The 23142-nt window shown below is 55.4% G+C and overlaps 1 protein-coding gene and 2 long non-coding RNA genes across 5 annotated transcripts, besides 4 other annotated features; 2 read left to right on the forward strand and 1 right to left on the reverse strand.

Moving 5' to 3' along the window:
* On the forward strand, window positions 401-4389 carry LOC124904534 (uncharacterized). The gene is made up of 2 exons (XR_007066913.1): window positions 401-2660; window positions 3357-4389. It is a non-coding gene; the product is annotated as an uncharacterized LOC124904534 (long non-coding RNA).
* On the reverse strand, window positions 3293-4719 carry IBA57-DT (IBA57 divergent transcript). 2 transcript variants are annotated; one of them, NR_103540.1, is made up of 2 exons: window positions 4681-4719; window positions 3293-3699 (listed from the first exon to the last, which is right to left on the reverse strand). It is a non-coding gene; the product is annotated as an IBA57 divergent transcript (long non-coding RNA). The 2 variants fall into 2 exon arrangements; NR_103539.1 differs by lacking the exon at window positions 4681-4719 and adding an exon at window positions 3861-4055.
* Window positions 4596-5498: an enhancer, noted in NCBI's record as "H3K27ac-H3K4me1 hESC enhancer chr1:228353090-228353992 (GRCh37/hg19 assembly coordinates)". NCBI's record gives its function as "activates a minimal SCP1, AML or CMV promoter by ChIP-STARR-seq in primed H9 embryonic stem cells {active_cell/tissue: H9 hESC(primed)}" and the evidence as "EXISTENCE:reporter gene assay evidence [ECO:0000049][PMID:30033119]".
* Window positions 4596-5642: a biological region, named in NCBI's record as "H3K27ac-H3K4me1 hESC enhancer GRCh37_chr1:228353090-228353992".
* Window positions 4603-5642: a silencer, noted in NCBI's record as "silent region_1915". NCBI's record gives its function as "represses an Ori minimal core promoter by ATAC-STARR-seq in GM12878 lymphoblastoid cells {active_cell/tissue: GM12878}" and the evidence as "EXISTENCE:reporter gene assay evidence [ECO:0000049][PMID:35858748]".
* On the forward strand, window positions 5011-21464 carry IBA57 (iron-sulfur cluster assembly factor IBA57). Of its 2 annotated transcripts, none has more exons than NM_001010867.4 (3): window positions 5011-5364; window positions 13899-14236; window positions 14329-21464. In NM_001010867.4, exons 1-3 carry the CDS (start codon window positions 5024-5026, stop codon window positions 14718-14720), a joined length of 1071 nt encoding a protein of 356 aa, NP_001010867.1. In that variant the 5' UTR covers window positions 5011-5023; the 3' UTR covers window positions 14721-21464. The 2 variants fall into 2 exon arrangements, with proteins under 2 accessions (NP_001010867.1, NP_001297256.1); NM_001310327.2 differs by lacking the exon at window positions 5011-5364 and adding an exon at window positions 13777-13817.
* Window positions 18055-18349: a silencer, noted in NCBI's record as "tiled region #12629; HepG2 Repressive non-DNase unmatched - State 23:Low, and K562 Repressive DNase matched - State 5:Enh". NCBI's record gives its function as "represses a minimal TATA promoter and a strong SV40 promoter by Sharpr-MPRA in HepG2 and K562 cells {active_cell/tissue: HepG2 | K562}" and the evidence as "EXISTENCE:reporter gene assay evidence [ECO:0000049][PMID:27701403]".

Here is a 23142-nt window from a genome sequence, read left to right on the forward strand (position 1 = left end):
AGGCCAGCCACATTGCAGAGGCCAATCTGCTTTCCTCAGTCCATCTATTCAAGTCTTAGTGTCATCTGGAAATGCACTCACAGACACGCCTAGAATAATGTGTGACCCCATATCTGGGCACCCTGTGGCCCAGTCAAATGGACACATAAAATGAACCATCACAGGCCAAGCACTGTCTCACGTCTGTCATCCCAGCACTTTGGGAGGCTGAGATGGGAGCATCACTTGAGCCCAGGAGTTCAAGATGAGCCTGAGCAACACAGACCCCATGTCTACAAAAAATTTAAAAAGTAGCTGGGCATGGTGGCATGCACCTGTGGTCCCAGTACTCAGGAGGCTGGGGTGGGAGGATCACTTGAGCTAGGGAAGTCGAGGTTGCAGTGAGCTGTGATGGCACCACTGCACTCCAGCCTGGGAAACAGAGCAACACCCTGTCTCAAAATAAATAAAATTAGCCATCACAGGCAGACTGGAGGCAGAACTGCTGCTTCTTTGGGAAACTTTAGTCTTTGGCTATATATCTAGATATAGATATAAAAATAGTATATAGTATCTGTGTCTATATTTCCTATGGTTTTGTTTCTCTGGAGAACCCTGGCTAGTACACATCCCCCAGCCAGAGCTGTTCAAAGGGCACCCCAGCTTCGAGGGAAGCTGGAAATGATCTCAAACTTGGAGGGTGTGCCCGTTGGGACTGCCATAGCACCGCATCATCCACTGGGTGCCTTAAACAACAGACACTGATTATCTCACAGTCCTAGAAGGGAAGGCCAAGATTAAGGTGTGGGCGAGGCTGGTTCCTCCTGCAGCCTCCCTCCTTGGCCCGTGGATGCCATCTCCCCCGTGTGTCCTCACACAGCTGTCCCTCTGTGTGCATCTGTGTCCTAATCTCCTCTTCTTTTAAGGACACCAGCCACCGTGGATTAGGACCCACCCCAATGAACTCATTTTAACTTAATCACCTCTTTAAAGGCTTTGTCTCCAATTATAGCCACATTCTGAAGTTCCTGGAGGTTAGGGCTTCAGCACAGGAGTTTCGAGGGGACAATTCTGCTGGTATTAGAGGGTATATGCCCAGTGGGAAGCTGGATTGCCACAAGAGAAGGGGAGACGGGACCCTGGGACAGACCTCCCTTCTTGAACATTTGGGGGTGGGTGGGCCACATCAGGTTTGTGAGCATCTGCTGGTGGGCTTAGGCTCTGTTACCACACCCTCCCAGCGGGATGGCCCTAGCCAGGAGAGGCTGTGCAAGCCCAAGCCTCCACGCCATCTGCTAGTCCTCCCTCTAAGACCAAGTCCTGGATAATCTGGACGTTCCCACAATGTCATGCCTGAGCCCCACACCACCACGCAGGCCTGGCATCTCCCACTACAGTGGGACGTGGTATCTTAGTTGCTCCAGTCTGCGGACCCCCAGAAGCTAAACCCATCTCGCACTCCTGGCGCTTGATCAGTCACTTTTAGAAAACCCCTGCCTTGGTTTCCCCAGCCACCTGGGGAGGCCACGACGGTGATGAGCTGAGCCTGGCACTGCTGACACCACAGCCCCCCTCCCTCCTCTGTCCTGCATCTTCCGAGCTCTGAGGCAGGTTGGCAGGGGGGCCAGTCGCTGGTGGGCCCAGCCCTGTACACAGCAGGACACACCCAGAGCAGGCGGTGCTGGAGCAGGCTGGCGGGATGGGACTCCATGTCTCACCTCCATCCGTTTCCACAACCTCAGCCAAAACTCTCGGCTGCTCATGGGAGTGCATAGTGGGGTGAGGGGCCAGCTGCTCAGAGACTCCCTCAGAATAGGGCAGTGGCACTCTCCTTCCTCTAGGAAGGGAGGAAGCCCTGAGGCGAGAATAACAGGAAACCACCTTCCCCCAACCCCCCCACAGTACCTGGGAAGCAGGGGCTGCGACCCCTACGCCCAGGCATTTTCCAGTTCTCACTCCCCTGGCCCCTGCTTCAGCCTGGTCCCTGAAGCCAGGACAGGGGCGGGGTTTCCTCCCCCAGGTGCCAGGCCCCAGTCCCCTGCCTGCTGATAAGGAGAACAGCAGCCAGGGTGGCTGGTGTAGAGTCCAGGAAGGCTTCTTGGAGGTGGCCTGGAGTTACGGCCTCACATGGCTCAGGCACTGGAATGTGGCCCCCAGGACTCTGGAGCTGAAAGCTCTGTTTCCTTTGAGTCCATTCGAACTGAAGTGGCCCCTGGTGTTGGTGGTGGCTTCTTTGGGGTGGGGGGGCCTAGGCAGGACAGATTCGGAGCCAGTGGGCCCGGCCCGGGGCACCAGGTTGCCGCACGCCTTTCCTGCTGCCTGTGCAGGGGTGGAAGCAAATTCCTCCTCTGGCTGAGGACCAGGCTGACGTGAGCCCAGAGGAACTCGACCCCCGCCCGTGGGTGTTGTCTGCGCCACTCCCTGCCCCGGGTTTCATCCTGCCTGCCTTCCGCTCTGTCCGCATGGGGCTGCCCGGGGGGTACCGGGTCACCCTCAGGAACGCCAGGCTCTGGCAGAGGAAGGGGTGGCGGCTGCAGCCAGTGGCTAGGGAGCGCATTCTAGGCCTGGCCTATCTCAGTCAGGAAGCTGGCGTCTGGCGGGGGACTGAGGCCCAGGGACCTTGGGGGACCCAGCTGATTTGCTCCAGGCTCCTCACCATGCCCGGAGCCTCGCCTGGTTGGGTAGGCAGGGTCCGGGGCCTCACAGGGCTTGGGGCAGGTGGGGATGCTGTGAGGAGGGTCCAGAAGGGCAAGCGGGAGCTCCAGGGATGAGGAAGCTGCAGTGAAGAGAGTGGGCTAACGGCAGGGCCTCCATGGCCACATCCAGGGCCTGCGGGAATTCGCTGACTGCCCAATGTCACCTGAGCCCCTAAGGCATGCCGGCTGCTGGCCCAGGCCCTCAGGACACGGCAGGGAGCTATGGCAGAGACTTTCTGCTTGGCCAAACTCCGGCTGGGATCTGGAACTTTCTCCTAGGCCCATCTGTGCACTTGCTTGGAAAATCCAGTTTTAGTAAGAGCCCTACTGAGTCAGTTTAGCCAGAACCCCACACCCTGGATATCTCACCCTCGATGACATCCAACCAGGTCCCTCATCCTCCACCATCACCTGGTGACGTCTGATCACCCTGCCTGCCTAGAGCAAGGACCCTGTGAGGTGGGTTTAGCCAGACCCCTCAGCCCTGATGTCTCCTTAGTCATTCCCACCCACAGACCCCACGCTGCTCCTCGGCTTCTCCACCCTCTGCCCTGCTGTGTTGGGGTTGAGCTCCATCTCCCCCAAGGCCGCCAGGCAGGGCCCCACACCACATGATGCGCCTTGGTGCAGTCTTCCTCACTGATGTTACTACGCATCATGAGGAATTTTTTTATTCAACAGATACAAAGACCTCTGCTTGCTGGGACTCTGCACCATAAGGACACATTGAGTAAGTCTTCTTTGGTGCTTTGAGTGGAGGGCAGTGGAGAGGGGAATGTCAACAGGGTGCATGGGCCCCAGGAGGCCAGCAAGGCAGGGATGGCTTGGACCAGGGCAGTCAGACTCTAGGGCTGAAGGCTGCTGGGGCCACCTTGTAGATGTGTCACCTACTACCAGGGAAAGTGGCCACTGTACAGGGCTGCTCAGCAGGGGGTATGGGACATCACTCCTCGAGAAAGCACGGTGGGGTGGATATGTCATAGCAGTGTGTGGTTCCTGCCTAAATTGTCCTCTGTGAGTTCAGCTGTGAAGAGAGGACGAGAGTTATTGGAAGGACGTCCTGTGGTCTGGAAGGACGTCCTGTGGGAGGACAGGCTGGGCTCCAGGGGAGCTTGGAATCCTGCACTGAAGAGGACTATAGACACATGATGGGGGTGACCCTGGCCTGAAAAAAGCAGAAGTTACCAAGGATGTGATTTGAAGCTGTGATTGTGTCTCATCATGTCACACTGATTAGGGGTGCGGAGGGGTTGTGGGCTGGATGGTGCCTGTCCTTATCCGTGGAGACACTTGGGGATGGAGCCTCCTGCCACCTGCAGCTGAAGTCCCAATGGTCCAGCAAATGAAAAAAATGACACAACAGCCACACGTGGACGCTGGCGAACTGGTAGGAAAGAGGAAGCGGCCGGGTGCGGTAGCTCACGCCTGTAATCCCAGCACTTTGGGAGGCCAAAGCCGGTGAATCGCTTGAGCCTAGGAGTTTGAGACCAGCCTGGACAACATGGGGAGACCATTTCTACAAAAAAAATACAAAAATTAGCTGGTGTGGTGGCTAGCGCCTGTAGTTCCAGCTACTCAAGAGGCTGAGGAGGGAGGACTGCCTGAGCTCTGGAGCTTGAGGCCAGCCTGGGCAACATAACCAAGACCCTGTCTTTACAAAAAATAAAAATAAAAATAAAAATAAAAATAAAATGCTGATACATGCTAGACCGTGGATGGACTTTGAGAATACTATGCTGAGTGAAATAAGCCGTCGCAAACGACAAATCCCGTAGGATTCTGCTCCTGTGAGGTCCCTAGAGGAGGCACGCTCATGGAGCCAGAAGGTACAATGGGAGCTCCAGGGCCTCGGGAGTGGGTGTTTAACAGGGAGTTTCAGGTTGGGAGGATGAAGAGGTTCTCGAGATGAGTGACGGTGCCCGACATGGGTGGGTGAAAACGAGGAAGGCCACCGAATGGGACATGGGATGGCGCTTAAGAGGCCGGCAGAAACCTCGTTACCTACCGAGGGTGGAGCCTGCGTGCTGACGGATAGGCCGAGTCCCCGCCCCGAAACACACCCCGCGCACGATGCTCCGCCCCACACGCATGCCCCACCCACCCAGCAGGCACGCTCGCCCCGCCCGCCCCTTCCAGCTCGGGAGGCCCTGCTCCTCACGCACGCACTCTCAGTCGGCCTCAACCGGCGCTGCTCCGCCCCTCAGGCACGCACGTTCCGTTCACCCCTCACGCACGCACTCTGCGCCCGCCCCTTCCCGCCTCCCTCCGGCGGCCACCGCCAGGGGCCGCTGTGGCACCCGCCCCTCCCGCTTCCTTGGGCCCTTCCCGCTGCCCCACTCTTGTCCAAGATGGCGACCGCGGCGCTGCTTCGAGGCGCCACTCCGGGGCGCGGCGGCCCGGTCTGGCGCTGGCGGCTGCGCGCGGCCCCAAGGTGCCGCCTGGCCCACAGCTCCTGCAGTCCTGGTGGCGACCCAACGGCCGGAGCGGCCTGGGCCTGCTTCCGGCTGGACGGGCGCACCCTGCTGCGCGTGCGTGGCCCCGACGCGGCGCCCTTCCTGCTAGGGCTGCTGACCAATGAACTGCCGCTTCCGAGTCCTGCGGCCGCGGGGGCCCCGCCTGCTGCGCGCGCGGGCTACGCCCACTTCCTGAACGTGCAGGGCCGGACGCTCTATGACGTCATCTTGTACGGGTGAGCGCGTGCTGGGAGGGCGCTCGGGGGCGGGCACCCAGGGGAGTGGCCAGGGACCGGCACCCAGGGACAGGGCGGGCGCCCGGGGCCTGCAGAGGGCGTGGGGGGTGGGCACCCGGGGAGGGCCGGGATGGGGTGGAAGCTCAAGGGTGGGTGGGCCAGCGACTGGCACTCAGGGTCAGGCACCCAGGAGATTCCACTTGGGATGGACACCCAGGGGAAGCTCACCCAGGGCCCAGCACCCGGGGGAGGGCACCCAGAGGAGGGCTTGGCTCAACACCCAGGGATGGGTCAGCGACTCATCCAGGGGAGGCCTGGGGGCCAGCCCACCATATCAGAGCAGAGGCGTCTCTAGGTGGGCACCTCCCAAGTGGGCCATCTGGTGACCCTTCTCCCTCCGCAGGGACAAGGGGTTCAGGGGCCCCGCCTGGTGGCAGAGCTGTGTTTCTGAGTGACAGCTTGTGGTGACACTCCCGAGTTCTGTTTACCTTGTGTTTCCCTGTGTCTCCCCATAGCTGGTCACATTGGCATTTGGCTCAGTCATCTGTGCTGACATCACGACTGTCAGTGATGTTCATGCCGGGTCAGGGCCTTGACTGCTTACAGCCTTGGGTTTCCCTTGCCCAGCTTCCAGGGACCTGGATCCCTGAAACCTCCGCCCGGTGGAGTGGATCTGGTTCGCGGCCGCCTGCCTGCTGTCCCTGCTATGGCGGACCCGGTTCTTGTTCTCTTCAGCTTACTCCTGTGTTTTGGTTTCAGGGGATGGACACCTTTTTAATGACTTCCTGAGCTACGTGGGGTGAATTTTTGGACTCATTGTGTCTCTGCTAGTGGCTTTACCTGATATCCTGGCTGGGTGTAAAAATCTAGCTTGGAAATTGTCACCGACAATGTTCACATCACAACTTTGTTTTCTCGCTGCCAGCTTTTCTGAGAAGTCTGGTGCCGTTCTTATTTGTATGTGAACTGTGTTTTTCTCAGAAGCTTTTCTTTATTCTTGATGTCGTGAAATGTCATGCTGATGTGTCTTAGTTTGGGCTTTTTCCATATCACATCTCTGGGCACTTAGTGGGCTCTTTAAATCTAGAACCAGAGTTGGTGAAATACGGCCCTGAGGTCAGACCCAGCCCATTGCCGGTGTTTATAATAAAATTCTCTGGGAACCCCACCCGTTGGATTCCAGGTGGTCTGGGGCTTCTTTTTTTTTTTTTTTTTTGAGACGGAGTTTTGCTCTTGTTGCCCAGGCTGGAGTGCAATGGCACAATCTTGGCTCATTGCAACCTCTGCCTCCAGGGTTCAAGAGATTCTCCCGCCTCAGCCTCCCAAATAGCTGGGACTACAGGTGCCTGCCACCATGCCCGGCTAATTTTTGTATTTTTAGTAGAGACAGGGTTTCACCATATTGGCCAGGCTGTTTTCACACTCCTGACCTCAGGTGATCCACCCGCCTCGGCCTCCCAAAGTGCAGGGATTACAGGTGTGAGCCACTGTGCCCGGCCTGGGGCTGCTTTTGTCTGGAGTGGTAGAGTTGTGGCACGAGTGTGGCCCTCAAGCCTAAGTTATTCACTGGCCCTTTACAGAAAAAGTGTGCCCACCCTAGCTCAATAGGCTTAAATCTTCATGTCCCAGTTCAGAGATATAGTCATCATAGTCTGTCTTATGTATTCATTACATTCTGTCTAGCTGCTTTAATTTCTTCATCTTAAGAACTACATTCTTTGATTCTCTGGAGCCTTCTATGTTAGTACTTTGCTGTTCACATGTTAGCCTTACAATGATGTTGATTTTGGTCCCCAAATTCCCTTCCATATTTCTATAGTCCTCTCTTGTCCTTTTCCCTTTGAGTCCTAGTTCAATTGAATTCCTATTCTTAATAAGTGTTTTGTGGTGTAAAGTACAGCTGACTTTGCACTACATAGGTCACTTATGCGTGGATTTTCCTTCACCTCTGCCACCCTGAGACGGCAAGACCAACCCTTCTTCTCCTTCCTCCTCCTCAGCCTACTCAACATGGAGACCATGAGGATGAAGATGTTTATGTTGATCCATTTCCATTCAGTGAAGTGGAACTACATTTCCTCTTCCTTAGGATTTTCTTCCTGGGATTTGTAGCTTACCGTATTGTAATACAGTATATAATAGCATAAAACATAAAAAATATGTGCCACTTGACTGCGTATGTTATGCATAAGGCTTCCAGTCAACAGGAGTCTGTTAGTAGTTAAGCTTTTGGGGAGTCAAAGCTTAAAGGTGGGTTTTCAACTGTGTGGGGGCCAGTGTCCCTAGCCCTTGCATCATTCAAGGGTCAGCTGTCTGTCCTTTCTGTGTCTCAGGGCTTTTTCCTCTTCATCCTTTCTTGCCTGGTCTGGAGCTTGTCTGCAGACCTACTGGGCCCCAGCTCCCCTTACCAAGCATATGCTTGGTGGCTCCTCTGTGTCTTTCTATTTGCTCTCATTGTGGGGGTCTCTGTCCTCGAGGTCTGCAGGAGGAGTTAATTTTCTTCACTTGTGCTGGGTGTCTGGTGTGTCCGCCACTGTTCTGAGTGCTGAGGGCATTGGAGGCGGCTCTGTTCTTCCCCAGCTCAGCACTGAAGGGTGACGTCATCCAACTCTGGTCTCCCTTCTGAGATGTGACACAACGTCACAGGCCAGGGAGCTCCACTCTGAGGGGTCAGGTGGGGCGGGACCATCCTCCGTGGGATTCAGCATCTGTGTAATAATACTTGAAACCCTCTAGCTTCAGTTCTGTTGGAGTTCATGGCCCTGTTTCTCCTCAGCCGTCAGAAGAGGGACACAACAAGGTTACCTCCTTGAGTGTCTCCCCAGGGGTGGTGGGTGACAGGTGTCCAGATGCCACCCCTCCCAGCTATGTGGCATGGGTGGGCTTAGGGCTGCGCTCGTTGGGCACGTTTAGTTCAGTTCATGAGAGTGTAAACTCTTTTCCTTGTCGGGCTGCTGTTGGCTGTTGACCTCCCTCTCTGTGGTTTGCCCCCTCTGGTCACTCCTCTGGGGAGAGGGCAGCCTGCAGGTCAGGGACCACCTCTCCCTGGAAGCCTCTGTGTGTTCCTGCTTCTCTGGTCATTCCCTGCCCATCATTCCTTTATGGTTTTTTCCTGACTGTAGGATTTTTTATTTCAACTTTGATACTTAATATATCATCCTGAGCCATCGCTTCCTTAAAGCACCCTATTCTTGTTTCCTGAATGTAGCACCTTCTTTCAGATGAAACTATAGTTATTTGGTTGTTGTCTTTTAATAGGAGTTGCTTTTTAGAGCAGTTTTAGGTTCTCAGCAAAAGAGCAGAATGTGCAGAGATTTCCCATATTACCTCACAACTTCCCCCACCAGAGTGCTATTTTCGTCACAACTGATGAACCTCTGTTGACATGCCATCATCACTTGGAGTACAGTTTCCATGAGGGCTCACTCTTGGCTTGGTGTGTTCATGAGTTAGGCAAATGTATGATGACACATGTCTACCATCGTAGCATCACATACAGTAGTGTCACTGCCTTGAAATCCTCTGTGCCCTGCCCATCCATCCATCTCCCCTAACTCCTGGCCACCACTGATGTTTTCAGTGTCTCCATAGTTTCATGCTTTCCAGAATGTCCTGTAGTTGGACTCATGCATCTGTAGCCTCTTCACATTGGCGTTCTTCACTTAGTGATATGCGTTTAGATTCCTCCATGTTTTTTCATAGCTTGACAGCTAATTTCTTTTTTTTTTAGACAGAGTCTTGCTCTGTCCCCCAGGCTGTAGTGCAATGGCGCAATCTCGGCTCACTGCAACCTCTGCCTCCCAGGTTCAAGCGATTCTCCTGCCTCAGCCTCCTGAGTAGCTGGGATTACAGGCATGCACCACCACGCCCAGCTAATTTTTGTATCTTTTTTTAGTAGAGACGGGGTTTCACCATGTTGGTCAGGCTGGTCTCGAACTACTGACCTCATGATCCGCCCGCCTCGGCCTCCCAAAGTGCTGGGATTACAGGCGTGAGCCACGGCGCCCGGCCGACAGCTAATTTCTTTTAGTACTGGTTAGTATTCCATTGGATGGACCACAGTTTATTTGTCCACTCATCTACTGAGGGACATATTGGTTGCTTCCAAGTTTTGGCAATTATGGATAAAGCTGCTGTAAACATCCATGTGCAGATTTTCATATGGGTCTGAGTTTTTTTGTTTTTATTTTTTAGACACAGGGTCTCGCTCCATTGCCCAGGCTGGAGTGCAGTGGCACAGTTGTAGCTCACTGTACCTTCAAACTCCTGGGCTCAAGTGATCCTCCCACCTCAGCCTCCCAAGTAGCCAGGACTACAGGTAGTTGAGGTCTCACTATGTTGCTCGGGCTGGTCTTGAACTCCTGGGCTCAGGCGATTCTCCTGCCTCAGCTTCACAAAGTGTTGGGATTGCGGGCATGAGCCACCATGCCTGGCCTCCTTAGGGTCCCTTTCTATCAGTTGGTTTTGATCTCTCTTCATGTAGGAGGCAGAGAGAGGCTGTAGGGTCATGTTGCAGGTAGGATTGTGGTCCAGTGGCCTTGCTGCGAGCTGGCCGGGGCAAGGATGTGGACTCAGTGCAGGGCTCAGCAGGCCCAAGAGTGTCAGGGCTGTGGCCTTGTGTCTGGCCAGCACTGAGGAGCAGGAGAGACTTGTCAGGCCTCTGGTGGCCTGGGGAGGAGGGAGGAGAGAGAAGGGAAGGAGTCAGGCCGGGTCCCAGAGCAGTGTTTTCCTGAACATGACTGGAAACCCTTGGATCTGATGGCCAGGGGACCCTTTCTTTCAGTTGGCTGGGCCAGAGCCACCCCTGACCTCCCTCCTCTTCCTGCACCCTTGCTCCCACCGGGGCTTCTGGGCTCAGCAAACAAAAGCACAGGACACCCAGGTCCGTCTCAGACGAGCAACGGATGATCTGTAGGTGCATCCTATGCGGTATTTGGGATATACTAAAAAAAGTAATTTGTTGTCGATGTGAAATTCTGATTTAACCAGGTACCCTATATTTTCTTTGGCAACCCTGTCCCCTGCGCCCCTCAGCGGTATCTGGAAATATTTTTGGTTGTCATGATGGGGTGGGGTACAGGCCAGGGGTGCTGCTTAGCATCTGGACAGCCCCCACTATGGAGAATGATGAGGCTGAGAAAGCTCCCCAGGCCGGGGCTCTCCTGTGAGGCAAGTCTCCTGGCAGTCTTCAGGTGTGGCAGGGGTTGGGGTGGGCCCGGGGGTCATGTCCCAGCTCAGCTGGTCCTGAGAAGCTGCCTGGTAGACAGTCACCGGCACAGAGAGCTGGAAAGTGCCCTCGACCCCAGAACCTGGGTCCTGTGAGGACATCCACCCTGTGTGAGGCCAGGGAGTGCTCAGCAGATGGGGGCAGCAGGGGGTGTCAGCATGGGTGGGGGTTCCTGCCAAGGCAGGCAGCTGAGCTGGCCCCACCTCAGAGTGCAGGGGCCCTCAGCTTGATCTTTTCTGGGCTCCACTCTTGACTGATGGACCCATGGGGCACCCTGGCCCCACCCTGCCTGCCTTGCCCCAGCTCCTGCCCTTGCCCTGTAGGGCTCTGCGGCCTCCCCTGTGCCTGTGTGCCTGGCTCACTAGACCCTGGACCTGTGGTCCCTCAGCTCCACTCTAGTCCCCTTACTCTGTCCCTCTACTGCCTGGCGTCGCTCAGCTCCTCCCTGCCTGTCCGGCGCCCAGCATCCTGTGCCCATGACCTCACATCTGTCCCTCTGCCCGGGTCCCCCACTCACCTGTGTTTTGGTCCATCTTTGTCTGCTGACCCCACTATAGATTTTAAAAATACAAATATGCATGCACGTGGTTAAAAACTCGCTGATGTCAGATGGCTGGGATGAAAGGACTGCCTGCTGCCTTTCCTCTTGTAGTGCTCGGACACCTCTGCAGGCGAAGCTCCTTGTTTTTTTTTTTTGTTGTTGTTGTTGTTGTTTTTTCACTTCTTATTTTGAAATAATTATAGATTCACAGGAAGTTGCAAAAAAAAAAACAAAACAAAACCCGTGGGAGAGATCGCACGGACCCCTCCCCAGTTCCCCTGATTGCACACACAGGGCATATCTGGGGTCTCTGGATTTGTGTGTCTTACTTTGTGCGTCTGTGCACGCATGTGTATAACTGCAGTTTTATCACGTGTGAATATCTGTGGCCATTCTCAGGCCCACGCGGCTTCCTGCTCCTGCCCCTGAATGGGCACCCCCAACACCCCAAAACCTGTTCTCAGCTGTAAAATCGTGTCATTTCAGGAGTGTCATAGATGGATGCATCGGCCTGTCACTTTTTAGCCTTACCCTTTTCCCTCACCATAGTGCCCTCAGATCCACCCACTTCTGTCCATCTCCAGCTCCCTGTTCTTGCTGAGAAGTCCCACATGGTGTAGTGGCACCTTGATTCTCCCTTTCTGGCTGTTACCAGTATAGCTGGCTGCTGTGAGCTTTCGCTGCAGGTTTTGTGTGAGCTGCAGTCTTCGTTTCTCAGTGATCCATGCCCGGAAGTGAGAGGGCCAGGTCGTGGAGTAGTTGCTTGTTTGGTGTTGTGAGGACCTGCACCCTGTCTTCCAGAGGGCCACCCGTTTTGCCTCCCCACCAGCAGCATGCCAGTGACCTGGTTTCTCCTCATGCTGGCCAGTGTTCAGGTTCACCACTGCATCTGTCTGGGCCACATCGCCTGTGTTTCCCTGGTGGCGTGGTGACCTTTCCGCGGCACACCTGCGGCTGCCCCTCTGTGCTGTCCTTGCTGTTCCTCCCGTCATCTTAGCCCACGTGTGTAAATGACATATGTTCCCCTCCCTTGTGGGTGTTGTTTTTGATGTCCTGTGACCGCTGTCCTGGAGTGTGGGCCAGATTCACTGGCTGTCACAGCTGGCTATGCCCACCCTCCCTGCGGCAGGGTCCTCAGTGAGACCTGTGCCTACTGGTTCTGGGTGATGAGCGTGAACGTTCTCCGTGGCTGCTGGCACGTGGGCATGACCACAGGGTAGAGTGAGACTGCAGAGATGAGGGCAGCAGGCCCCTGCTTGGCACCTGAAGCCCTGGGCAACTGGCAAGGACTGAGCCCTCTCCTGGCTGGAAGGGGCTGGGCCACCTGCTCTTGGGCTTGTCTCTGGAAGGCCCTCTGGGGGTCTTACTACCTCCCTGTCTCAGCTCCCACCAGCCTGTGAAGCCCTGTGCAGTCCATACCTGCAATCAACCCCAGCCATGGAGGTGGCTGTACCCCAGGTGTCTCCACTTAGTGCCCCCCCCCCCGACATGCCCCACGCTGCCCAGCCTCTCCTCTTCCCACCATCCGTCTGGTCAGGGGTCATTCTTGTGGTGCCTGCCCAAATCCTCTGAGGAGGGCTGCCTGGAGTGCAGGTCAGAATGGCTCTGGGGCCCCGATTGGGTTCTGAGACTTGGCTTGGGGAGGCAGGTGGTGGGCATGGGCAGAGTGGGCCTCAGGCATGCTGTACCTCCCTGACAACCTCCTGGGCTCCTTGCTCCTCCCTCCTGCCCACCTTAGGACCCTTGGGCTCCTCGATGGCTTCCCTGGGCTGGAACAGGCAGGTCTGGTTCTCAGTGGCTGTGCACACCGTTCCCCTGCGGGGCCCTGCCCATCCCTGCTCCCACATCCAGCGGACTGTTGTCATTTCTGCCCTAGGCTCTGGGACTACTCCGGATGATGCCCTCGGGCAGGCTATTGCAGTTCTGCCAGTCCCTGGGCAAACAGGGTCTGTCTGCGCTGGCCCCTGTGAGCTCGTCTTTGCCTGCTTAGACGAGAGCTCCGGAGGCTCAGCTGCGCACGGCTGTGGGCAGGGCTTTCCATGCGCTGGTCCAGGTGTACCCTGCCTGGCCTGCTGTGCGTTGTCTGCACGCACCCTCGCATTGCTGTGGGCGCGGCACTCTGCGCTGGTCTCCAAGGTGCCCGCATCTAGCTGTGATGCGCGCCTTGGGAGGTGCTGCCTGGTGTGGCTGTGGGCGTGGCTCGCTGTGGGCGTGGCTCGCTGTGGGCGTGGCTCGCTGTGGGCGTGGCTCGCTGTGGGCGTGGCTCGCTGTGGGCGTGGCTCGCTGTGGGCGTGGCTCGCTGTGGGCGTGGCTCGCTGTGGGCGTGGCTCGCTGTGGGCGTGGCTCGCTGTGGGCGTGGCTCGCTGTGGGCGTGGCTCGCTGTGGGCGTGGCTCGCTGTGGGCGTGGCTCGCTGTGGGCGTGGCTCGCTGTGGGCGTGGCTCGCTGTGGGCGTGGCTCGCTGTGGGCGTGGCTCGCTGTGGGCGTGGCTCGCTGTGGGCGTGGCTCGCTGTGGGCGTGGCTCGCTGTGGGCGTGGCTCGCTGTGGGCGTGGCTCGCTGTGGGCGTGGCTCGCTGTGGGCGTGGCTCCCTGCGTGTGGTGACCTGGGCGCTTGCCTTAAAGGCGCAGCCCCTTGTGGCTGAGGGCAGAGCTCTTTGCGTTGGTCCACGGTGTGCTCCTCTGCCCGGGTAAGGCGCGCTCCCTCATGCAGCCCTTTCTGGCCCACTCAGTTGGTGAGCTGCCATGCGCCCCTGCCTCTCTCCCTGCAGGCTCCAGGAACACTCGGAGGTGTCTGGCTTCCTTCTGGAGTGTGACAGCTCGGTGCAGGGCGCGCTGCAGAAGCACCTCGCGCTATACAGGATCCGGCGGAAGGTCACGGTGGAGCCGCACCCGGAGCTGCGAGTGTGGGCGGTGTTGCCCAGTTCCCCTGAGGCCTGCGGGGCTGCATCGCTGCAGGAGAGGGCAGGGGCTGCCGCCATCCTCATCCGCGACCCGCGAACAGCACGCATGGGGTGGCGGCTCCTCACCCAGGATGAAGGCCCAGCCCTGGTGCCCGGGGGCCGGCTCGGGGACTTGTGGGATTATCACCAGCACCGATACCTGCAAGGTATGGGTGGGGTGGGCACGCTGGGCTGGATTGCACGGGTGGAGCTGGACGATGTTCAATTCTCGCTGGTTTCCCCCCTCCAATCCCTGCAGGCGTTCCTGAGGGGGTCCGAGACTTGCCTCCTGGGGTGGCCCTGCCCCTGGAGTCCAACCTGGCCTTCATGAACGGCGTGAGCTTCACCAAAGGCTGCTACATTGGCCAGGAGCTGACGGCCCGCACCCACCACATGGGCGTCATCCGCAAGCGCCTCTTCCCTGTCCGGTTCTTGGACCCCCTTCCCACCAGTGGCATCACCCCTGGTGCCACGGTGCTGACTGCCTCAGGACAGACTGTGGGCAAGTTCAGGGCTGGCCAGGGCAACGTGGGGCTGGCCCTGCTGTGGTCAGAGAAGATCAAGGGTCCTCTGCACATCAGAGCCTCTGAGGGTGCCCAGGTGGCCTTAGCCGCATCTGTGCCAGACTGGTGGCCTACAGTCTCCAAGTAGTCCGAAGCCTTGGCTGGCGCAGGCTGATGGGGAGGCTGGGGCCTGGGGCCTTTGGCCTCTGTCCAGGGTCTTCCCGTCCCATCTGTCTGCTGCGCCTACTGGGTGGGAGCCCTGGTTTCCATCTGGGAAAGTCCCCCTTGTAGGTGCCCTGCCTGGCCCCACCCATGCTCAGGGGCCCCAGGCACGTGGGTTGTTTTCTCCCTGGACTTCCTGTGGCCCCAGAGGAGCCCACCGTGTGAGTGCTGGGCTCCAGATGGCGCCGGGTCCCAATCGTGGCTCCACACAGGGTTGTCTGGGAGGACGGGACGGTGTCTCTGGCCAGCACTGGCAGCTTCCGGGCCTTGTACCCCACTCTGCCTGGCATGAGCCTCATGGGGGGTTGGTCCCTGTGCCTGGAAGCGGGGTGGTGTCCAGGGTCTGCAGGCTGGGGCTCGGGCTTTGGGAGTTGTTTCACTGTGCTTGCTTCCAGCATGTCTCAGGGTGGGGCTATGCGTGGTCTAGAGGGGTCTGGGGCATTGGATCAGGTGGCATGTGGGTGTCTACACATCGAGAAGCACACAGGGATGAGCCACTAGGTATCCCATGCTGGAGGCTTGTGGAAGGCTGTGCCCATCTCCCATGTTTCCCCACCTCTGTTCCTCCTCAGAGCCCTCCAGGAGCGTGGGGTGGGGGCCAGCGCAGGGCTCAGGAGCCAGCAGGGCAGAGTTCTGCCTGTGTGTGCTGGGTTTTGGCATAGCCTGTGTTTGCAGTGAGAGTGACTTGCTGTCAGTCACGGGGCACAGCCTCCTGTTCACCCACTGGCTTCCCCCTTCCCACTGAAGTGTGAGCTCTATGTTTCAGGGCATCTATTAAAGAGTGAGCCACAGGCAGCCCCTTGGGAGCTCTGGTTTCATTTGGGGGAGAGGGAGGTGGGGGCTTAGTTTTTGTGATCTGGCTGACTGGACCCCGGGAACAGCGCTCCTTTGAGAACGCCCAGACCTACCAGATGAAGCACTTGGCATGGCTGCAGGCCAGCAGGGGAGGCCTCAGAGGCCCAGGCTGGGCACGTGGGTGCCGAGTCTGCAAAGGACAGCCCCATGGCTGTGAGCTGTCGGCTGCAGGGCGCAGGGCCTGGGGGGCAGGCGTTTGGGCCACCAAGCTGGACGTTAGGGTGGCCACAGAGGGCCAAGCAGGCAGGGAGCCTGTGCCGCCATCCTGGGGGGCCACAGGTGCTCTCTAGAAATCTGCAGCCATGGCGGTTTTGGGGTCAGGGGTCTAAAGGCAGCTCTGAGCTGCAGTGTAGTTTGTGATCACCCAGGAGGAGGGTGTAGAGCGGATGGACGGGAGGAAGCGGCTGCAGCTGGAGGGAAGAGAGGGGCCGTCCAGCCTCACCCGCTGCAGTCAGCTCTCCTATGGGCAAGGAAACAGCTAGGTGGCCCTGACCCCTGCGGTCCTGAGAGCCGGTGGCCTTCAGCCCCTCTTGGACAGGTCATGGTCTGGAAGCGCCCAGCGCAGGATGGATTCCAGACCAGCATCCCTGCAACCTTTTCAGCCCCACTGGCTGCTGCTTTAAACTGGCATGGAGACATTTGATCAGCTTCCCAGCCAGTTTTCTCTCCAGCTCAGCCAGGAGTGGGTGCCTGTGGCCTGTGTCACCAAGAGCTGGTGTCTCCTGCATGAGGGGCATGCACCCCTGGAATGAGGGTCTGTGCCTCGAGCTCAAAGTGTCCCGGCTCTGTCATCTGCCTGAAGTTGCCTGGCTTTTCCAGTGGGGCCTCCTTGAGTGCTGCAGCATCTGGGAGCATCCTAGCCTGTCCCGTGGGTGTGGCTGGGTGAGGGCTAGGAGGTGAGCCAGGAAGGAAGCACTCCACTCCAGAGTGAGGTGCCGCCTGAGCCATCCTGTGCCCCCTCAGTGTCTTCAGGTCTCTGCAGGTGTCAGGATCTCAAAATACTTGGTTCAGATCAAACACATTTCGTGTTCTTCTGTGTCCTTTTTTTTTTTTTTTTTTTTTTTTGAGATGGAGTCTTGCTCTGTTGGCCAGGCTGGAGCTCAGTGGCACAATCTCTGCTCACTGCAACCTCTGCCTCCCAGGTTCCAGTGATTTTCCTGCCTCAGCCTCCTGGGTAGCTGGGACTACAGGCACATGCCCCATGCCCGGCTAATTTTTGTATTTTTAGTAGAGATGGGGTTTTACCATGTTGGCCAGGATGGTCTCAATTACAGGCATGAGCCACTGTGCCCAGCCTCTTCTGTGTCTTTAAAAAGGAAAGTGTCAGTCAACAAAAGAGCCCCTCTGTCATACAAACCAAATCAGTTTTCACCAAAATGTCCTTAGTCCTCTCAGAAAGGCCTGGCCTTTAGGACCTTGGAAGCAGGCCCTAAAGCGCATCGGCAGGGTCAGAGCTTTGTGTTCAGGAACACTGGGATCTGCTGAGAGCTGGTGTAGCCGCTCCAAAACTGCACACTGCTTTTCCTGTCTGCTTTAGTTTGTGTTGTAAAAACATAGGAAGTTCGTGTGTGTGTGTGTGTGTGTGAATTCAAGGCATAAGGTGCAGTTGTGTTATGTGGGTATAGTGCATGGTGGTGCAGTCTGGGCTTCTTACCCTCACACCTCCTGCCTCCCCTCGTTAGAGTCCCCCACATCCGCCTTCCACTTTCTGAGCCCACATTGCCTGTTGGGCAGCTCCTGGTTATGAGGCAGGACGTGTGGTGTTTGACTGTCTGTTTCTGAGCTGTTTTACTTAACACAGTGTATATGGTGCATCTTTAGGAAAGCATGCTTGTATTTTCCTTTCAAAGCCAGATATGGGCGGGTGTGGTGGCTCATGCCTGTGATCCCAGCACTTTGGGAGGCCGAGGCAGGAGGATTGCTTGAGCCCAGGAGTTTGAGAGCAGCCTGGGCAACATATCAAGACTCTGTCTCTTAAAAAAAAAAAAATTAGCCAGGCATGGTGGTCCACACCTGTGGTCCCACCTATTCGGGAGGCTGAAGTGCGAGGATCACTTGAGCCCAGGAGGTTGAGGCTGCAGTGAGCTGTGATTGTGCCACTGCACTCCAGCCTGGGCAACAGAGCAAGACCCTGTCTTAAAACAAAGAAAGAATAAAAAAGAAGAGAAGTTGCAGTTGGTAGTATTTCCAGAGCCCGGCAGACAGTGTAGAAACTGTGAGAAACCCACCTCCAAATCAGGCCTTAGATAGAAAACATCCTAAGAAGTATACGTTCATTGTAAAATCATTATCATCATCATCTTCTAATCCCCAAGGAGACAAGCTCCCTGTTCTGTGTTCTTGTATGAGGCGGTCAGTCAAGCGCAGCCCGAGAGGAGAGGCAGGAGCCTGGGAGAGCCTCTGCTAGACCTTTCCTGGCACTTCCCCAGGAAAGGCAAGGCAGGGCAGATGTGCGGCTGGCCAGCTGGAGTGATTTCCATGGGCTCCAAGCTGTAGGAGTGGTCCCTGGCTGCCAGAGTGCTCTGGCCAGATAGAGGTGGGCTCTGGACTGGTGAGGCTGCATTGCGGAGGCGCGCACACCCAGCTGGGCCCTTATCTGTAAGGACTGGCTGGCCTGGGAGGGGCAGTCTCCCAGCCAGAAGGTGGAATTTTTTTTTTTTTTTGAGATACCAAAACATCCTAAGGTACAGGAAAGAAATTGTCAACACACACACACAGTACCATAAACAAGGCCCAGCAGAAAGGCAGACAGAAGCACACACACCAATGTTCTGATCTTAGAGTAAGCAGACACATCACATGGAATGAGGATGTTTAATATATTTAAAGAAAACAATTTATGCACAGGAAGCAAGAGACTATAAAAATGACCAAGCAGATTTTAAAAAGAGAACTTGTTGAAATAAAAATAAAATACTCTAAAAAATATTCCATGATGTGTTTCCTGAAGAATCGGGAACTGTTTGAAGAAATGACCCAAAGTGCAGCACAGAAAGACAGAGCTGGAAAATATGAGATGGGATGAGACAAGAAGATGGAGAGTTTAGTATGACATCCGCAATTTACGAGTAATTCCAGAAGGAGGGGAAAGAGAATATGGGGTGGAGGCAAGTATTCAGAGAAATACGGCTGAGAACTTTCCCAAACCAACAGGAGCCCCTGCTCCTTAGGTTCAGGAACCAGCAGCTCCCAAGCAGCATAGTTAAAAAGCTCTACCCAAACAGTCACGTCTTGGTGAAAGTACAGAATCTCATGACAAAGAGATCTTAAGGCAGAAAAGAAAGAGATTATCTGGAAAGAAGAAAATAAGTAGTTGATTAAAAGCAACAGTGGAAGCCAGAAAGATAGTAAATAATATCTTCAAAGTCCTGGGAGAAAATAGTGATAGCCTAGAATTGTGTACCCAGAAAATCCGTCTTTCAAGAATGAGGGGCCAGGCGCAGTGGCTCACGTCTGTATTCCCAGCACTTTGGGAGGCCAAGGCAGGTGGATCACCTGAGGTCAGGAGTTCAAGACCAGCCTGATCAACATGGTGAAACCCTGTCTCTACTAAAAATATAAAAATTAGCTGGGTGTGGTGGCATATTCCTGTAATCCCAGCTACTCGGGAGGCTGAGGCAGGAGAATCACTTGAACCCAGGAGGCAGAGGTTGCAGTGAGCCAAGATTGTGCCATTGCACTCCAGCCTGGGCAATAGAATGAGACTCTGTCTCAAAAAAAAAAAAAAAAAAAAAAAAAAAAAGAGGGCTAAACGCATTTTCATACCACGAAACTGCCCTCACTCCGGAGTTTGCTGCCAGCAGAGCCTAGAGCGTCTAAGGCATGTCTGGGCTTCTGGCGAGGGATCCTGTGGGGAAGCTGGAGATGGAAGAAGGAGTGAATAGGCAGGAAGGTGGATTTGTGGGCATGTCTAAAACACCACATCTAGAAGCTTCTACTTAGAATGCCTACTTTTGGAGTTTATAAAAAAGATGCCACATGTTGAGTTGGGAGAGAGGTGCCCAAACCTACAGTGTTCTAAAGTCCCCCTACTGGTCGGAAGGAGGGCACGGACACTGACTTCAGCATCTGTTACAAGGCTTATCAGAGTTTTCAGATAATCTCTAAAAGAATGGAAATATATCTTCCAAACTATAGAGGGAAGACCATGGAATTTAAAAGCCAGTCCTTCAAGGAGAAATGAACAAACTCAAAATCGTAGTTGGGAGTGTTTTTTTTTTTTTTGAGACAGAGTCTCACTCTTGCCCAGGCTGGAGTGGAGTGGCATAAACACAGCTCACTACAGCCTCAACCTTCTGGGCTCAGATGATTCTCCTGCCTCAGCCTCCTGAGTAGCAGGAACTACAGGTGTGAGTCATCACACTCAGCTAATTTTTTTTTTTTTTTTTTACTTTTTGTAGAGATGGGGTTCTCACTGCATTGCCCAGGCTGGTCTTGAATTTCTGGGCTCAGGTGATCTTCCCACCTCAGCCTCCTGAGTAGCTGGGACCACAGGTGCATGCTAATTTTTAAAATTTTTTGTTTTTAAATGCTGGTCTTCAACTCTTGTCCCCAAGTAGCTGGGATTGGGGCATGAGGCACTGTGCTAACTTCATGTTGAAATTGAATTGCCATTCTAACAGTGTTAAGAGATGGGGCCTGTAAGAGGTGATTAGGCTGTGAGGGCTCCACTCTCCAAGGGCGGAGTTAATGTTATGAAAGGGTAAGTCCAGCCCGCTTGTGCCTCTCTTGCCCTCCAGTGTTCAAAGCACCATCTTGGAGGTGGAATTCCCAAGTCGGCCAGTTCCTGGATCTTGGACTGTCCGGTCTCCAGAACCGTGAGCCAATAAACCTCTGTTCCTTGTAAATGAGTCAGCCTCAGGTATTCTCTTGTAGCAGCACAAATGGAGGCAGACACTTCCTTCACCAATCTCATGGGAGGCCCACTCCTGTGAGCTGCCTCTAGTTCCCCAGGCCACAGACTCCATCAGGGCTCACCTGGAGCCGTCCCTGTCTCACCTGGAAGCTCTCCCACTCCTCTGGCCAGCCTGGGCATCTCCACCCAATATGAGTGATGGCGACTGATTCCCTTACTTTAGCAAGCTGGGAATAAGGAATGTTTGCCTGTTCTTATTCAGGGGTCTCTGCATCTCCACACTTGCACAGGTTGTGTGTACATACATTTTCCTGTCTTTCTGGTAAGCCCCTGGGGTGGAGCTCTGGGCCACAGGGCAGGAAAACTCAGTGTTGCTAGGAACTGCCAGACATTTTCCCGGAGTGAGTGCAGCATTTACATTCCCACCAGAAGTGTGCCAGGTTCTTGTCATACTGCGTCCTCGCCAGCGCTTGGTGCTGTCAGTCTTCTTAGTTTCCATTTAGAGATTCAGTGTTTAAATTTTGAACGTCTTGGGTGAACACCTTGGTTTGAGAAAAGTAAGAAAAAGGGTCTGTCTGGCTATGGGCCATGGAGACCCAGGGCAGTGCTCCACGTGCCAACCCTGGGGCAGGGAGCCCAAGCTAGGACTGTGACTGTCTGGGCTGTGGGCATCTGACCATCTCCAGTGTCCCCGTCTTTGATTTCCCTGGCGATGGTGCTAGCTTAGTTTGTGCGCATCGGCATTTGTGGGAGAAATGAAGGATTAATACATTTTGTTTTATGTCAGACTCTCTCAGTGAGAAGTTCTCAGGGACAATAATAGCAGGGGGTCCTGCTGAAGAAAAACTGGGAGATGGCTGAGCTCTGGTCCATCTTTCATTGATTCATTCATTTCTTCATTCATTCAACCATGTATTGAATGCTTATAGCCAATGAAAATAAAGTACACAGTATATTTTATTGCTACGGGCTCTATGGTGAAAAATGAAGCAGGAAAGCGGGACAGGGTGTGTGTGGTGGGGACGGGGTGTGTATGGTGGGGACGGGGTGTGTGGTGGGGGGACGGGAAGTGTGTGGTGGGGACGAGGTGTGTGGTGGGGACGGGGTGTGTGTGGTGGGGACGGGGTGTGTGCGGTGGGGATGGGGTGTGCGGTGGGGACGGGGTGTGTGTGGTGGGGAGATGGGGTGTGTGTGGTGGGGACGAGGTGTGCGGTGGGGACGGGGTGTGTGTGGTGGGGAGATGAGGTGTGTGCGCTGGGGACGGGGTGTGTGCGGTGGGGACGGGGTGTGTGTGCTGGGGACGGGGTGTGTGCGGTGGGGACGGGGTGTGTGCGGTGGGGACGGGGTGTGTGCGGTGGGGACGGGGTGTGTGCGGTGGGGACGGGGTGTGTGTGGGGGGATGGGGTGTGTGGGGGAGGACGGGGTTTGTATGGTGGGGACGGGGTGTGTGGTGGGTGGGGTGTTTGTGGTGGAGACAGGGATGGGGCGTGTGAGGGCACTGGAGGTGTGGATAGCAGTTGGATGCCCAGCTGGGGGTAGGCAGTCTGGAGGGTCCTGAATTTGGGAGCTCAGATGTGTGGGCCACCCGGACATGCTGGAGAAGGGCATTTGGGGAAAACGGCTCTGAGGGGTGGACACCTGCCCTCTGGCCTCACCAGCTGTGGACAGGTGTGTGCTGATTGTGTTTCTGGTCTTTTAAGGACATCGTGCTGGGCTGCAGATGTTGCTGTTTTTTAATTGAAACTTTATTGCCCGCTGGACATGGTGGCTCATGCCCCCTAATCCCCACCTAACCCTAATCCTAATCACAGCACTTTGGGAGGCTGTGGTGGGAGGATCACTTAAGCCTAGGAGGTTAAGACTGGAGTGCTGTACAATCGCACCACTGCATTCCACAGCCTGGGCAACAGAGGGGGACCCTGTCTCAAAAAAAAGAGAAACTGCTGTTGCCATAATAGTTGTAAGAAATAATACAGAGCGATCCCTTGTTCCCTCTGCCCAACTTTTCCTAACAGTGAGTCTTTGCAGAACACCACAGTCTCACACAAGGACATGGACTTTGATGCCATCCGGTGGCCTTACTTAGCCTCCGCCCATCTTGCTTAGCATCCCCAGGAAGATCCCTGTGTGGCCCTTTCACACCTATGTCTCTAACGCCATCTTATCCCTAATCCCTGGCAACCATAGCCCATCTTCCGTTTCTAGAATTTTGTCATCTCAGAAATATCATATCCAGCTGGGCATGGTGGCTCACACTTGTAATCCCAGCACTTTGGGAGACTGAGGTGGGCAGATCACTTGAGGTCAGGAGTTCGAGACCAGCCTGGCCAACATGGTGAAATTCCGTCTGTACTAAATATACAAAAATTAGTCGGGCGTGGTGGCGCACGCCTGTAATCCAGCTACTCAGGAGGCTGAGGCAGGAGAATTGCTTGAACCCGGGAGACAGAGGTTGCAGTGAGCCAAGATCGTGCCACTGTACTCCAGCCTGGGTGACAGAGTGAGTGAGACTCTGTCTCCAAAAAAAAAAAAAAAAAAGAAACGTCATATCCGTGGGGTCATCCAGGTGCTGCCTCTGGCACGAGGACATGTGCTGGAGCTCTCTTCCAGCTGTTGCGTAGTTCGTTCCTTTTTATTT

This window comes from Homo sapiens, chromosome 1, assembly GCF_000001405.40.
Source record: "Homo sapiens chromosome 1, GRCh38.p14 Primary Assembly".
NCBI lineage: Eukaryota > Metazoa > Chordata > Mammalia > Primates > Hominidae > Homo > Homo sapiens.

What these genes read in the sequence shown, in the direction of transcription:
- IBA57 (NM_001010867.4), top strand. Translation starts at nt 5,024, where the DNA reads ATGGCGACCGCGGCGCTGCTTCGAGGCGCCACTCCGGGGCGCGGCGGC. An exon ending in TATGACGTCATCTTGTACGG is followed by an intron (nt 5,365 to 13,898) that starts GTGAGCGCGTGC and finishes CTCTCCCTGCAG; the next exon opens with GCTCCAGGAACACTCGGAGG. An exon ending in CCAGCACCGATACCTGCAAG is followed by an intron (nt 14,237 to 14,328) that starts GTATGGGTGGGG and finishes CAATCCCTGCAG; the next exon opens with GCGTTCCTGAGGGGGTCCGA.